This window comes from Homo sapiens, chromosome 3 (genome assembly GCF_000001405.40).
Source record: "Homo sapiens chromosome 3, GRCh38.p14 Primary Assembly".
In the NCBI taxonomy this organism is placed as follows: Eukaryota; Metazoa; Chordata; class Mammalia; order Primates; family Hominidae; genus Homo; species Homo sapiens.
Genome location: NC_000003.12, coordinates 4551110 through 4567854, shown reverse-complemented (window position 1 = coordinate 4567854; position 16745 = coordinate 4551110). Strand labels below are relative to the sequence as shown.

The following is a 16745-nucleotide window of genomic DNA, read 5'->3' as shown; positions in this document are numbered from 1 at the left end:
GGGCAGGTGGATCGCTTGAGCTCAGGAATTCACGACTAGCCTGGACAACATGGTGAAATCCCATCTCTACTAAAAGTACAAAAAAATTAGCTGGGTGTGGTGACGCATGCCTGTAGTCCCAGCTACTCGTGAGGCTGAGGTGGGAGGATCACTTGAGCCCAGGAGGAGGTTGCAGTGAGCCAAGATGGCAGCATGCACTCCAGCCTGGGTGGCAGAGTAAGACCCCGTCTCAAAAAAGAAACCAAAAAAAACTAGCTCAAGCGTCACCTCCCCTATAAAGCCCTCCATGACCCACCTCAGCCCCCAAGCCCACCGCACGTGGTTGACTGTCATCTTCATTCGCCTATCTCTAATCTCAGTTTCGACTTGGAGTCTAGCATGTTCCATGTTATACTGCAAACCATTATCAACATGTCTCCTTTCCTACAACAATTTAAAGTTGCAAGAAAAAAGGACTTGGTCTTCTTAGGCTTTATCATCCCCCCTCCAACCTGGAACATTACACAAATTCAACAAGGTATTACTCTATTAGCAATCACGTCTTTTATCCTGATCACTAGTGCTACAGGAATGGATAAAAAAGAGTAAGAGCTAAAGAAAAATAGTGACAACAAAGTATGAAATTGTCCAGTGTTACTCAGGTAAGAATTGAAGGGGAGACTCCACTTCTCTTCAATTAATGCTAATTGAACACATTACAGACCACACCCTACGAGCTTTCCACATATCAACTTGTTTAACTCTCACAACATTCCACTGAAATAGGTATTATTATCCCCATTTTACAGATGGGGAAACTGAGGTAAAGAGATTAAATGTCTTTCTTGAGGTCATTCAAGTCATAAGTGGCACTGCCAGGATTCAACTCAGGCAGTCTTAACCTACATTGCATTACCTCTCAAGATACACAGCTAGGAGAAAGACTGCAGAATGGAAGATTGCCTAAGCTGAACAGAGAAAGAGAGAGGAAAAGAAGAGAATATGATAAACACTCAACTCTCCTGAGGAGGAAATTAAGAGAGGGAAAACTGGTCCTGACTACTCTTGGTGCCAACAGAATATCTAGTAGTGGCCAAGGCCCAGGCCCAGGTTGGGCTGATTACAGGCCAGAGTTGTATGGGAACAATGAAGGGAAGGTGGAGGAAAGAATCTGCATTGCATTCAGGAGGTTAGGAACCTGGGAAACACCTCAATTTTTGCAGAGTGTTTCAGTGTGTGTGTGTGTGTGTGTGTGTGTGTGTGTGTGTGTGCATGTGTCCCCATTCAGGCTTCCTGGGCCAAATAGTCCTGGCTATTTCTCCCCACTCTCAACTCTGACCTGGCTCTCAACTCTAATTCTATCTGGCCTTACTTGGCTGAACTGACCCACCTATTCCTTACCTTTAAGCTCTTTATTTATTCAGAGCTGAGGTTCCAGGAGCTGATTCAACAGATAGAGGTTTGCTCATAGTAGAGACTGGAATAAAGGTCAATACCTTCTGGGAAAACAACTCCTGTGCAACAAACTACTACTCATACATAAAGTCAGAGTTCATTAAGGTAACTGTCCATCTGAAAAGCAATTATCAGACTCACGAGTTGAGGGTGGCTCTTAGAAGATCTATCCAACAGGGGAAGGAATGAATACAGCCCTGGAAAAATCTGAGGTTCAGTTTCCAAATTGGCTCTGAATTTGGCTTATGAATTCTTACAAGTCATTCACTTTTTGATTTATTTGTCCTCTGAATTTATAGATCTCCTCTCCATCTCCAACATACTTTTATGCAGTTCATTTGAGGATATGTTACAGTTCGTTGTACAGGGATTTGGCTACCAGGAAAATCAATGAGCAAGACGGGGCCAGCATTACGCCACTCAGATTCACTAGGAGTGAAGCTGAACTTCCTGGCACAAACCTTAGGTCAAAATGGCAATAAATGAAAAGGACAAGGAAACAACTGCAGCCCAATGTTCTCAAACATCAATATCACTTTTGATATTAATATACTTAGTGGAACATGAAAATCGCTTTTCAAACCACTTGGACATTCATCTCCAAATTTCTGAAGTTGCACTCAATTTAATTCCCTAGAAGTTGAAATTTTAATTCTGTTTCAATATCAATCACATTTCCACTTAGCATAGAGTCAGCTGTTCAATTGTTTGCAGAATCCAATCTAGTTCAAAAGAGAATTAGTAGCCATTCCGACCTTCGTCTTGGGGAGACAATCAATACAGCCTGCTCTCTGTGGGAACACACTCTCCTGCGGGCCAAGGGGAGATGCTGACCCCAACCAGGAAGGAGAAAGACTGTTTATTTCTTGGCACTAGGAGGCAAAATTTAATTTAACTTTAAGTGTTCATGAGCTTTTCATCCTCAAAGTGCTTCACAAGTATTAACTAATTAATCTTCTCAGTACTGCTGCGTATTACATAAACTCAGGGATAAAGAACAAGGGAGGCATTGAATGGACCAGGTGGTAGAATTAGGAAGATAAGAAACTAACCTCACAATGAGAAACCTTTTACGTGGAGGTGCTATTAGTGGCTAGGGCAGGCTCCAGTGCTAGTGGCTGTGACTATTCTATCAACTCTAGCAGTAAGAAAAATCATGCTGAAACTAGGGCTGCGGTGATGAGCTGAAGGTTCTTTCTGGAACTAAGCCTCAGTTCCCTCAACTGTCAAGTGAGGCTGCTCACAGAACAAACTCCAGAGGGTGCTTATGAGGAATCAACAAGGTGACACATTCAAGATCTTATCACAGAGGAGCCTACCAATGCTCAGTACACACCAGATGTTATTAAATAAAAAAGGGGCCGTGGCTTCCAGGTGTCTGAGCAAAAAATGGGTTAAACAGCTTCAAAATGTTTGCAGGTATTGTCCGTATTTTCATTTGTGAGAGACAATGAGTTTAGCCAAATTATATGCACCTCTTTTATGAACTGAACTGCGTCCCCATTGTAAAATTCCTATGCTGAGTGTTACAGCTCTTTTAGAATTTGTCTAGCGCTGGAAAACCCCTTTTTTAAACTCCTGTGTTGAAGTCCTAACCCTCAGTCGCTCAGAAAGTGTCTGAGACAGTTCAGGCAGCTTAAAAAAATATCATAAATTAAGTGGCCCATAAACAACAGAAATGTATTTCTCAGAGTTCTGAAGGCCTGGAATTCCAAGATCAAGATGCCAGCAGGTTCAGAGTCAGGTGAGGGCCCTAGTTCACAGATGGCACCTTCTTGCTGTGTCCTCCCATGGTGGGAGGAACAAGGGGGCACTAATCCCAATCACCTCTCAAAGTACCCAGCTCCTAACACTACCTTGGTTATCAGGTTTCAACATAGGAATTTCAGGAGGACAAAAACATGCAGAACGTGACTCATTTGGTAATTCGTTCATTACAGTTGTCATTAGTTAAGATGAGGCCATACTGGAGCGGGGTGGGACCTATTCCGACATGACTTAGATTCTTATAAAAAGGGTAAATTTGGAGAAGGCCACACCTGTACAAAGAACACACGCAAACATGAAGGCAGAAGAAATACAGCAGAGCCAAGGAACACCAAAGACTGCCCGCCAACCACCAGGAGCCAGGCAAGAGGCATAACGGATTTCTTCCTATGCCTTCAGAAGGAACCAATCCCGGCCGGGTGCGGTGGCTCACGCCTGTAATCCCAGCACTTTGGGAGGCCGAGGCGGGTGGATCAGCTGAGGTCAGGAGCTCGAGACCAGCCTGACCTACATGGTGAAACCCCGTCTCTACAAAAATTCAAAAATTAGCCGGGCATGGTGGCACACACCTGTAATCCCAGCTACTCAGGAGGCTGAGGCAAGAGAATCGCTTGAACCCCGGAGGTGGAGGTTGCAGTGAGCCAAGATCGCGCCACTACACTCCAGTCTGGGTGACACGGTGAGATTCTGTCTCAAAAAAAAAAAAGAAAAGAAAACAAATCAACTCAGCTGACACTTTGATTTAGGTGAGACAATAAATTTCTGTCGTTCAAGCCATTCAGCTTGTGGTGCTTTGTTGCAGCAACCCTAGCAAACGAATAAAACCTCTATATAGGATTAGTTTTGTTTAATAAACAACCATGAACCCACCAAATCCTGCACACAAGCACACTGGTCTGTGGAGTCACAGGTACGCAAAAATATCCGCATGAAAAAATCTAGCACCGTTCAATCTTGAAGCCAAAGAGAGAGTAAAGGGAGCACTGAACATCAACACAACTCAGGGTACCAGAAACACGTACTCTGCAATTTCGTAGGAAATCAAATTTTTATCACCCAAACTTCACGTGGCTAATAAAAACCCAACTTATGTAATAATTCTCAATATGCATACAGAGAGGACAAATTGCTTTTTTATTTTTTTTGAGACAGGGTCTCATTCTGTCACCCAGGCTGGAGTGCAGTGGTATGATCCCAGCTCACTGCAGCCTCGATCTCCCAGGCTCAAGAAATCCTCCTACCTCAGCCTCCTGAGTAGCTGGGACCACAGGTGTGCATCACCATGCCCAGCTAATTTTTTTTATTCTTTGTAGACGTACGGTGTCCCTATGTTGCCCGGGCTGGTCTTGAACTCCTGGGCTCAAGCAATCCTCCTGCCTTGGCCTTTTGAAGTGCTGGGATTACAGGTGTGACACCCAGCCAACAAATTAATTTTTACATGGTCTTGACTACTCCCTGAGGTGTGCATGGGCCAAGACACACCAATAGGCTCCCTGCTGTTCAGCTTTCTTACTGTTTCTCCAACACTGCACGTACCTACATCATAGCTTTTACCCTTGGTGTTCCTGATGCTAGCATACTGTGTCCCCAGAGATACAAGTGGCCAGCTCTTCCTAAACTTGTAAGTGTCAACCTCTATGTTACCTCCTCCAGAAGATTTCCCTAACTGCCCTATCTAGTGCTGGCCCACCCATCCCACCCCCAGTCATGCTGCATCACATCCTCCTTATTTTATATTCTTTCCAGTGTTTATCACTCTGATGTAATCTTGTTCATTACGTATTGTTTGCTTCTTGGTGTCTGTCTCACTCCACTAGAATGTAAGTTCTATGGGGGCAGAGACTACATTTGTCTCACTCAACACTATCTCCAGTGCTTAGCATGGTGCACAGTGCACTGCACGCACTTGATTTTTTTTTTTTTTAATGAATGCGTACCACCTTCAAAGGTGAGTCATTTTTAGCTAAGTGCAAAGTCTTGCAGTTTATTCAAGGGAGAACCACTAGCCGGTGCAATTATAAGATCCTGGAAAATCTCAACATACAGGGTTGGCAAATCTAAAACCTGAGATATTGGTAATGCATATTTAAATGATCCCTACTATAAACAATTTGCTGAATGTAATATAAACATGCCAGATAGTCCTTCCTAAGTAATCTTAGTGTAAACAATTAGTCCAACTGCTTCACTCACTATCTTTTTGCACATACTATCAGTAAAATAGTATGTGCAAACAAAATAAATAAAATTAAAATTAAGAAATCTATGGTTATCATAAGCCAACCTTTTAATAAAATTGGGACTATTACTATCCAAAATGCAAACCTACTTGCTGCAACTTAACATTACTGTCTAATAATTTTTCTTAGAAAAAATAGAAATTGAGAATTACTTTTAGAATAGCAAGATATTTTGATGAGCTGTATCTAAATTCCAGTCTTTTACAGCAGGCTTGTCCAACCCACGGCCCAGGATGGCTTTGAATGCAGCCCAACGCAAATCTGTAAACTTTCTTAAAACATTATGAGATTTTTTTTTTGCATTTATTTATTTATTTATTTATTTAAGCTCATAAGCTGTTGTTAGTGTATTTTCTGTGTGGCCTAAGACAATTCTTCTTCTAATTCTTCTTCTAGGGAAGCCAAAAGATTGGACACCCCTGTTTTACAGGTTCAAAAAGTAAACAAATGTTAAAGACAAAATTGAATAAATGTCAGTGGCCTAGGAGCTATTCAATTCAACTTGTCTAAATCATTCCTCTAAGAAAAATAGCCATCCTGAGTCATGAGCTCTGAATCCTCAATGTGACCTTTGAGCAAAACAAACAGTTATCTGTTTATATTTTAAAATAGTTATTGGCAGGTCTATTGCTCATGTTCTTTTAACCCACGTTAAATTAAAAAATAAATCCTTTAAGTCATTCAGGCTAAACCATGAATATTACAAACCAATGCTACGATTAAAAAAAATAATAAAGAAGTCCCCAGGCCAATTTAACACCATCCGAAATCCACCCAGATCCAAAAATCTGAGTTAACTAATATACATTCTTTCTTATTTTCTCCTTTCCTCTTCTTTTTTGTCCTATATTGAGCATTGGACCCAAAAAAGTAAGTTTGAACCTAGAAATGTAGTGAGTTTCGTTCTTAGGACACATATTCTATAAAATTATGTATTTGCAAAAGTCAACAGATTTAATCCCCCACTCCCCACCTGCCAAAGAAAAAAGCTGGAAAGCTGGTCAAATCAAGCTGGGATTTCTTGAGCCATTATTAACCACTCGGTCTCAATATCATTATCAGTCACTGGAATTGGTCGTATATTTTTAGGACAGTACAGGTAGACAATGGGAAATTCCACGTCGTCCTTCTCCATTAGGGCAGCTGCTGCACTTGTTAAGATAGAATTTCACTCTCGTCATTATCAATTCCAGAAAGAATCAGCTACTAGGCCAAGTAGATCATCTCACTTCATATGAGACTATTTATTCAAAACGACTCAGCACTTACAAACATATACTACATACAGACAATTAGCAAATCACAGCTAGCCAGGTCAGCTGCTAAAAATAAATCAGGAGACATTAAACCCAAGATTCTCCTCCTCGTTCTATGGACATCTCCAGCAGAATCAATGAACACAGGACCTAAGTCATCAGCCTGCATCCTCAAAGCAGCAAAAGGCCATCTTGAAATCAATTCATTGGCCCCCAAGTTGTCTAGGATCCTGGATTCAAAGCACCTATCTTTTAGCAAAATTCAAAAGGTTAAAAGAACATGAACAAAAAGCCAATCAAACCAAGATAGGAGTTCTAGAACATTCACTAACCACTCAGTTACGTTATAATAAGTCGCTGTCACCTCTACTTCTTCCCTCCATGAGACCTTGGGGATAGATTAAGTGGCAGAGGCTGAACTACTGTATCTACATGCACCAAAGTTAATCTGTTCCTCCAGAACTGTTCAAGAAGATTCTTTCAAGGCTGTAATGTGACTAACATTTTTTTCTTTCTCCTTGAAAGAAAAAGTCCAAATCCAGTTCTCTCTTCTTCCAGAGAAAGCTTAACATGAAAGTCACCTCATGCTTAACACAAAAGTCGCCTCTTATGCTTCTGGATTATTCCATAAACACATGATTTAAAGAAAGAAGGAAAAAACAGATACTATTCAATTTGGTTTTTCCTTCTTTCTTTAAAAATAGTAGTCAGGAAGTTGATATCAACATTGAGCATTAAAAACTCTACAAAATAATAACTAATGTATGTGTATACCATCAATAAAATTTTATTACAATTTTGTTTAAAAAATCTACACAACATTCTGAGACCTGAGAGAGAACCTTATTACATTAACTGGGGGAAGTGCCTTTGCTTTTTATTGGTGAAATATAAGAAAAAGTAGCCTACAATTTGCTCCCTACTTTTTATTTGTTTGTCCATCTGTGCATCCACCAATCCATATATATGCCAAATGCAGTATTTCTGTGCTGCAGTTACTTAAGCATTTTTTAATTCATGGACGTGCCAAGTACTGTTCCAAGGTCTTTTCAAATAGGAAACCATTTAATCTTATGAGCCAGGACTATTTTCTCCATTTTACAGATGAGGAAACTGAGACATAGAGAGGTTAAGCAAGTCACCCAAAGTCACAGAGCTATTTAGTGGGAGAGCCAGAGTCAAAACCAAGCAGTCTGGCTCTAGAACTCATGCTCTGAACCAGTACATAACGCCGCCTCTTAGGAGGGGAGACTAGCATGTCAAATTGGGAGGCCCTATACAGTTTAGTGATTAAGGGTATTAGAAAGACCTTGTTCCTATACAGGCTGTCATTTACTAGCTGAGTGACCCTACACAAAGTTACCTAATCTCCCTGGGCTTCAGGTTCCTTGTGTGGATTATATGGATTCTCCCACAGTGTGTGGTATGGATAAAAATAATTTAAAACACTTAATAAAATGGCTGGCTCCTAGTAAGGAATCCATTAACTATTAGCTTTAAAAGTAATTACTTCCATGTGGCAAAATGCTTTGGCAGGCATGTCCACAAACTGCCCTCTCTGATTAGACTAAAAAATACTGGAGAATAATCATTTTTACTCATCTTGGCATGCAAAGAATTGTGCCCAGAATAACTGATATGTAAAGGTTCCTGCATTTGAGATGTTTAAATTTAGTCATTAAAAACAAGTTTTTATAAAAATACCCTTACAGAGAACATAAGACTTTTAAAATATATAAAGTTGTCTATACTTTTTAACCATTAAAATTTTAAAAGCCAATTAAAACTTCTTGAAAATTTTTAATCAAATTAATGCATGCACACATTTTTAACATCAAATATTATTCAGTAAGTCAATGGCATGATAAAAAGGAAAAGAGGACTATTCAAGATTAAAAGACTCAGAAGAGACTAGAGAGACATAACACCCATACACAAGAGGGGGCTTTGTTTGGAACCTGACTTGAATGTATTAACTATTAAAAAAAAAAAACAACTTTTTCAGGTGGGCACAGTTGCACATGCTGTAGTTAACTACTCAGGAGGCTAAGGCAGGAGGATCATTTGCACCCAGGAGTTTGAGACCAGCCTAGGCAACATAGCAAGACCCCATCTCTAAATAATACTACTACTAATAAAATTAAAAAGTATTTTTTCAATCAAACAAAATTCAATATGGTAATAAGGAATTGTTAGTTTTGTTAGGTATGATAATGGTATTGTGGTTATCTAAGTAGATGTCCTTTTTCCTGAGATGCGTTTGGAAGTATCCGGGGTCAAATGGCATGGTATTTGAATTTTTTAAGATACCAGCAAAAAAAAAAGAAAAAAGACAGATGAAACAAAAATGGTAAAATGTGGAATACTGTTAAGGCTAGTGGGTTCTTGGGGGATCACTGTATCACTCTATTTTTCTGGATTCGTACCTGCACCAGGAGCTCCTTTTCCCAAATGCCTCTCCAGAGAAGACATATTCATAGTTCTTTTATTTCCTAGTCATTATTTTCCTTTTAAAAAGATTAAACTGCTATTTCCTTGCCTATGTATGTTTTCATTTTTTAAAAAAGTAGTCCCTTTAATTCCTGTTGCATCACCTACAATAACTCTTAACTGCCCAACTTTGATATCATTAGAGCCCTCTTCACTTTTCCACGTCTTTCCATTCCTTACCATCTATTGTCTATATTTTTACTTTCATATCATTGAGGTTGATTAGCATTACTGTTTTATAACCACGAGCTTTGTAATTTGTCTATAAATTGATTGTGTTTATATTATAACCATGTAAATATTTTTCTATGCATCTCAAATAATGTAATATGAATACATTTCAATTTTAGCTCAGTTTTAGTTTTTCCTGGAGTTTCTAATTGCTTTTATTTTTCCTTGCACTATTTGCCATTAGTATGTCCTTAACTTTCTTCAAACTCTTCATCATATCAGGCATTCTATTGGGTAGCTGTATGTCCAATTAAGATTCTCCCCCTACATCTTAGATATGTTAAACCTGTCAAATGATGGAAGAAATTCTAACTCAGAACATCTATTCTTAAGCATACGTTCCAATTTTTTAAACTGAATTGAGAAGTTGGCCGGTTTGAGAATGGTCCAAACACTTTACTAAACTTATTCTGAGGGGACAAATGATGTTCTTGTAGGAAAGAGAAAAGAAAGTGAAGGAGGAGGTTTTAAAAAGCAGCTTATGTGGATGTAATAAAACTCACTTTATAACTAGAGGGTTTCACCATAAATTTATGAATACCAGTGAATTTATAGTGAGCGCTAAAATAACCATATTTTTTTAGAAAGGAGGTATGCATCCACATGAAACTCTAATTACATTTACATTTAGAATAATTGGGAACACCCCTACCCCCATCTGGCTTCTGAGTCATATCCCTACACTATAACTTTGATATAGGAAAAAAGTATAAAATCTGCAAAAATAATGTGAAAGAAAAAGAAACCTCAAACAATTAGTTTACAAACAATGCCAAGTGCTAAAGAAATATATAATCCTTGAAGCTTGAAAGCCACAGATTACTACTCAGAGGTCTGTCAAAAGCTTTAGCCAAAATATTTCATCAAAAGCAGGCCCAGCTGAACACAGTCAAAAGGGAATTATCATGGCCAACCTGGTCAACATAGCAAAAACAAAAAAAAGTGGGGGGTGGTGAATGACACAGTGATATGGTTTGGCTGTGTCCCCACCCAAATCTCATCTTGAATTGTAGCTCCCATAACTCCCACTTGTCATGGGAGGGACCTGGCGGGAGGTAATTGATTCATGGAGGCGGGTCTTTCCCATGCTGTTCTCATGATAGTTAATAAGTCTCACAAGATCTGATGGTTTTATAAAGGAGAGTTCCCCTGCACCTGCTCTCTCTTGCCTGCCACCATGTAAGATGTGTCTTATTTCCTTCTTCACCTTCAGCCATGATTGTGAAGCCTCCCCAGTCATGTGGAACTGTGATTCAATTAAACCTCTTTCCTTTATAAATTACCCAGTCTCGGGTATGTCTTTATTAGCAGCGTGAGAACAGACTAATACACACGGTGATTAAGAGTTGAGATTCTGGGCTCAAGTCATCAATTGTCAATCACTAAATTGGTGATATCGGGCTGTAAAAATCTTACTACATTGTCCTTTCTGTAAAGAGTTGCCATCTGACTAGGTGTTGTGAGGACTAAATGAGAGACTGCATACGAAACATTCAGCACAATGTTAAGTAAAGGCTAGTCACTGATAATATTATCAGCACTCAAAAGCCATCTTGTGCCTGAATGCTTGACCATTTCTCCTCAGAAGAGTTTCTCTGATGATCCTTGGTATTTACTCAAATAAGCTGAAAAAATAAGTCCACACAAAAACCTGCACAGGGATGTTTATAGCAGCTTTATTCATAATTGCCAAAACTTGGAAGCAACCAACATATCTTTCAGTAAGTGAATGAATATATAAATCGTGGTATATCCAGGCAATGTAATATTACTCAGCGCTGAAAAGAAACGGGCTATAGAGCCATGAAAAGACATGGAGGAAATTTAAATGCACATACTGAGTGAAAGAAGCCAATCAGGAAAGGCTACCTGGTGGAAGATTCTAACATTATCACATTCTGGAAAAAGCAAAACTAGGGAGATAAAAAAAAAAAAATCAGTAGTTGCCAGGGGTTGGGGGGAGGGAAGAATAAATAGGAGGAGCACAGAGATTCTTAGGGCAGTGAAACTATTCTGTACGATACTTCAGTGATCTATAGATACATCCCATTATACATTTGTCCAAATCTGTAAAATGTATGACTTCGAGAATGAACCTTAACGTAAATGATGGTCTCTGGGTGATACTGATGGGTCTAGGTAGGTTCATCAATTGTAACAAATGTACCATCCTGATAGAGGGTGTTACTAGAGAGAGAGGCTGTGCACCCTGATGGGGGATGTTACTAGTGAGAGAGGCTGTGGAGTAGGGGAAGGGACATATGAGAAACCTCTGTACCTTCCTATCAATGTTGTTGCAAACCTAACAATAATAATAATAAAGTTTTTTAACTAAATTAGAAAAAATGTTTCTTTGATAATTCTATTTCTATGCTACCCATCACATAGTTAATATTTGCACATGTGAATGAAGAGCTAGGTGAAGGATCTCACTGCTAAAACACAGCACGACGCAGTGTCTACGAGCACAGACCCTGGAGCTGAAGTGCTTGTGTGCAAATCCTGACTTCGAGCCATATGATGTTAAGCAGATGGTTTAATTTCTTCCTGCCTCAGTTTCTTCATCTATAAGACAGACAAGCCTCCTTATGCAGTAACAAGGATTAAATTGGTTAATACTTGTACAGCATTTAGAATAGCAAGGGGCACAAAAGTAAGAGCTGTATAAATTTTTTAAGTAAATTGTAGTATTGCTCATGATGGTAAAAAATAAATAGTTTGAATTTTTATCACTCAGAGAATGGCTGATTACACTCTGGCACATCCATACTATGGAATAATCCTCAAATGCTGAAAAAAACTAGATTGTAGATTAGTAAGTTTCCTCCATGTCTTTTCATGGCTTCATAACCCACTTATTTTTAGCACTGAGTAATATTCCATTGCCTGGATATACCATGGTTTATTTATTATTTTGCTATTGACATTAACAAAAAATGGGTTAAGAAAGGAGTCAGGTGAAAAAACCAAATTGCAGAATAATAATTACGGGTTTAAGAAAATTCATAAAAATGTATGTTTTAATATACGCCTATATGCCTTCAAATGAATAGGAAACATCCTGGAAAGATACACACCAAACTGCCAAAAGCAATCGCTTGCCTCTGAAGACCAAGTTTCTAGTCCTGTCTCTGTAATAACTACCTGTACAATCTTGGCTAAGTCACCTAACTCAGGAAACACCTAAGGTAGTTTCCTCACCTTAAAGCAGGAGAGGCAGGGATGACTGGATTCAGTAATGCCTCTAATTGATTCCAATCCCCCAAATACCCTGACTTTGATTATGGGATTCTGGTGCTTTCTACAAATAAAAACACTGAATTCTCCAACACTTCATCCTTTATTAGAAGCCCTATGGAACATGGTGTGTTGTTTCAAAAGCACAGCCTATGACAGATGGAAACACATTCCGCGGGTACAGTTCCATCCCCAGATCATGCTCTCAGTAACGAAATCTTTCTTCACCCCTATTCCCCACACATGAATGCTGTGTGCTCCTAGAGAAGATAATTGCCTTATCCATTGATATATGAGCAACAGTTCTTTTATTGCCATTTTTGCTTTTTTCCCCAGATTGTCATCAGAAATGTATTTACACTATCATTCATAAACATATGTAACCCAATTAATCCACCCACAAGCAGGAAGACAAGAAACTGCTGTTTTAAAATCAGGGGCAGGTTGTCATCCTCCACCCAATGACCAGTGAGACAGATATTTCGAGTCACTGGCCCCCATCATGATTCTAGGTTACCACCGGGTTAACTGAAACCTCAGTCCTCAGTCTCTGCCCATCTGCTCTCTCTCAGGGGGTTGATGTAACCTGTAGCCACACTGTCACTCCTTCCCAACCAGCCTGCCTGCCACCCTACGACCCCTTTCTCTCCAGCCCAACCCACCAGTGAGCTCACCACCGTAGGTCCCCAGCACCTACACCAGTGCCTGGCACATAGCCAGCATCAAAAACAAGGATTCAATTGATTCATGCCCACAAAAAACATTTACTAACTAGGCCAATACACGTAATTACCAGACTAATCTTCCTAAAGGAAAGTACTGATTCCTTCTGCGACTCGGCAAAAAATGTATTCTCTAAAACCTGGAGCACCTATGATGTGCCAAACACTGTACTCATTTCTGACAAAATAAAGAATGATACACTGCTAAGCTCACAGGTATCAGTGGGCCTCTATTCCTATCAAAGAGAACAGAATTCATCACTAACTGTGCCACTCAGTGACTGTTACCTTGGGCAAGATACTTAAACTCTCTGAACCTGTTTCCTCACCAATAAGATGGGATTGCCCTCACTGCTAAATGAAGTAATGAACATAATACATTTAGTGTAGTAAGATACCAATAAAGGTTCTTTTTAAAATTAATAATAGTAGTAAGGCTGGGCGCGGTGGCTCACACCTGTAATCCGAGCACTTTGGGATGCCAAGGAGGGCGGACTGCTTGAGCCCAGGAGTTTTCAAGACCAGCCTGGGCAACATGGCAAAATCCTGTCTCTAAACAACTAAAAAATGTTAGCCAGGCTGGGCGTGGTGGCTCACGCCCGTAACCCCAGCACTTTGGGAGGCCAAGGCAGGTGGATCACCTGAGGTCAGGAGTTCGAGACCATCCTGGCCAACATGGTGAAATCCCGTCTCTACTAAAAATACAAAAATTAGCCAGGCGTGGTGGTGGGCACCTGTAATCTCAGCTACTCAGGAGACTGAGGGAGGAGAATCACTTGAACCTGGGAGGCAGAAGTTGCAGTGAGCTGAGATCATGCCATTGCACTCCAGCCTGGGCGACAAGAAGGAGACTCTGTCTCAAAAAAAAAAAAAAAAGAAATTATCCAGGCGTGGTGGCACGCGCTTGTAGTCCCAGCTACTCAGGAGGCTGAGGTGGGAGGACTGCTTAAGCCCAGGAGGTAGAGGTTACATTGAGCTGAAATCGTACCACTGTACTTCAGCCTGGGTGACACAGCAAGACCCTCCCTCAAAACAAAATAATAATAACAATAGCAAGAACAAACTTCAAATGTCTTAGTCAATCAAAGACTTCAAAATCTGGTACCAATAAACCACTTAAGCCTCAACCTCACACACCCTGTCTATCTGTCAAAAAAATCATAGCTGGAGTCTGCCCATCTGTGTCTTTGGTCCTGTAATTCACTGTAGAAAAATGTCCCACCCCTCTATCCCAACCCTCACTCCATTCATGTTTAATGCCCGCCCATCCTTTGTTGCCCGGCTTAATATGCCTTCTCCGTAAGTTTTTCTACTCATGACATCACCTCCCACCACAATAAACTTCATCTGTGGTCCCATGGCACTTTAAAACAGCACCTCATCTATTCTTTATAGTGCACTCATTCAACATGCTTTTGTGATGAAAGACACATCTGTTTTCTGACAGATGTTTCACTTTGTGTTGGGGATGCTGGGGTCAACGAGAAAGTCCCTACCCACAATCTAGCAGCGGAGTTAGGCATAAAATAAATCATTACTGTCACATTGTGAAATATATATTTGGTCTTTGACCCTGTTTCCTGGCATACAACCCCTAAAATCCTCAGAAATGCCAAAGTGATGTCTTTTGCATGCTAATGAGTTGACTGGTAGCTGGCAGCCCCCAGGCAGCTTCTAGATGGAGCTGGTCACCAGAAAAAAACAAGGCAGGATTAGAGGGTCCAGCTTTCAGCCCAGAAAGAGGAGAGGGAAGAGAGGCTGAAGGTTAAGTTGATCACCAATGGCCAATGATTTAATCAATCATGCTTACATAATGAAGCTTCCATAAAAACCCAAAAGGACCAGCTTCAGATAACTGAACATGTGGAGGCAGACAAGATGGTGAACAAGAACTCATCCACCCACTGGGAGGATAGTGGGCCCCAACTCCATAGGAACAGAAGCTCCTACACTCAAGACCCTTCCAGACCTCACCCTGTGTATCTCCTCCTCTGGTTATCTGTATCCTTTGTAATATCCTTTATAATAAATGGGTAAACATGCTTCCCTGAGTTGTGTGAGCCACTCTAGCAAATTAATCCAACCCAAAGAGGTGGTCATAGGAATCCAAACTTAAAGCCAGTCAGTCAGACGTTCCAGAGGCCCAGACTGGTGTGTCAGGTGGGAGGTGGGGCATTCTTGGGGGCTGAGCCTCCAATCTGTGGGATCTAATACTATCACCAGTTAAACATTAAAATAGAAGATACCCAGCTGTTGTCTGCTGCAGAATTGATTGCTTGCTTGGTGATGGGGAGAATTTCCCCCACCCCGTTTGTCACAGAAATCTGTGTTGACTGCTGTTGAGTGAGAGACTAGAAAAAGCACTTTGAGTTTGTTTTTTTCCACAATCAGAATTATCCAAATAATTTCTGCATTAGAACTGTGATAAGCATCCTAAACAAAACAGATAAAAATACAAATGGGATTACTTCTGCTATCCTGAGACCTAGATTAAAGACAAGCCTGTTTCACATGGAACCTCCAGAGCATATGTAATAAATGTTCGTTAGAGTCAATCAAATTATCTTTTCTATTAAAAGTTAACTCATTTGAGAGTAGGGACCTTGCCTCAGACAGCAGAGATGTAGTCAAAAAATAAGATACGACTGGTTGCAGCTATTGCTTGTTGACTTACCAGCTATATAACTTAAGCCGACTTCTCTGATTTCAGATTCTTCATGTGAATAAGAGAATAAGCCTTTAGAAACTGTTAAAAGTACTATATACATGGAGTATTATCTGTATCTAGCCCACTACAATTAACACATGCTGTAAATATAGTGAGGGTTTGGCAGATGTTTGCTGAATGAACATTAAGTCCCTGGCCAAGGCCAGGGGTGAGCTCTGTTGTGACCTTGATTCATGAGCAAGAACCAACGTCAGCCCTGAAACAGCTACTCAACCCTTTATAATTAAAACATGGAATAATCTCTCTAGATAAGAAGCATGGACACTTCTTGGCAACGCTGAGAGATTAGAAAGATCTGTTCTCATAAAAAACCCTGTATGCTGAAGCTATCAGAAGACAGTATTTTCATAAGGACACATTTCTGAATCGCTTCATGATTTCACATCTCAATCTCAGCACCAAAAGTGAGGGCCAGTAGAATAACTCATCCCATAAATACGGTGATACTGCTATGATTCTAACACCATCTCTTCATTCCCATTATTTTTGCCTTCTAGACTCCAGATGGTCTTTTTTGTTGTTGTTACAAGCAGACCAAGACAAGAATAAGAGCAACAAAACACATGTTGCAGAAAAGGCACTTCCCTGAAGCCCTGCCTTGGCCTCCAAACCTCCACTATGAGATGCCGCAGCTGGTATC

At 40.2% G+C, this 16745-nt stretch overlaps 1 protein-coding gene and 1 pseudogene across 4 annotated transcripts in view; one reads left to right on the top strand and one right to left on the bottom strand.

Moving 5' to 3' along the window:
• The window catches only part of ITPR1 (inositol 1,4,5-trisphosphate receptor type 1), a 354159-nt gene that overhangs the window by 279652 nt on the left and 57762 nt on the right, over window positions 1-16745 (bottom strand).
• Window positions 2956-3001, top strand: LOC124906344 (uncharacterized; annotated as a pseudogene).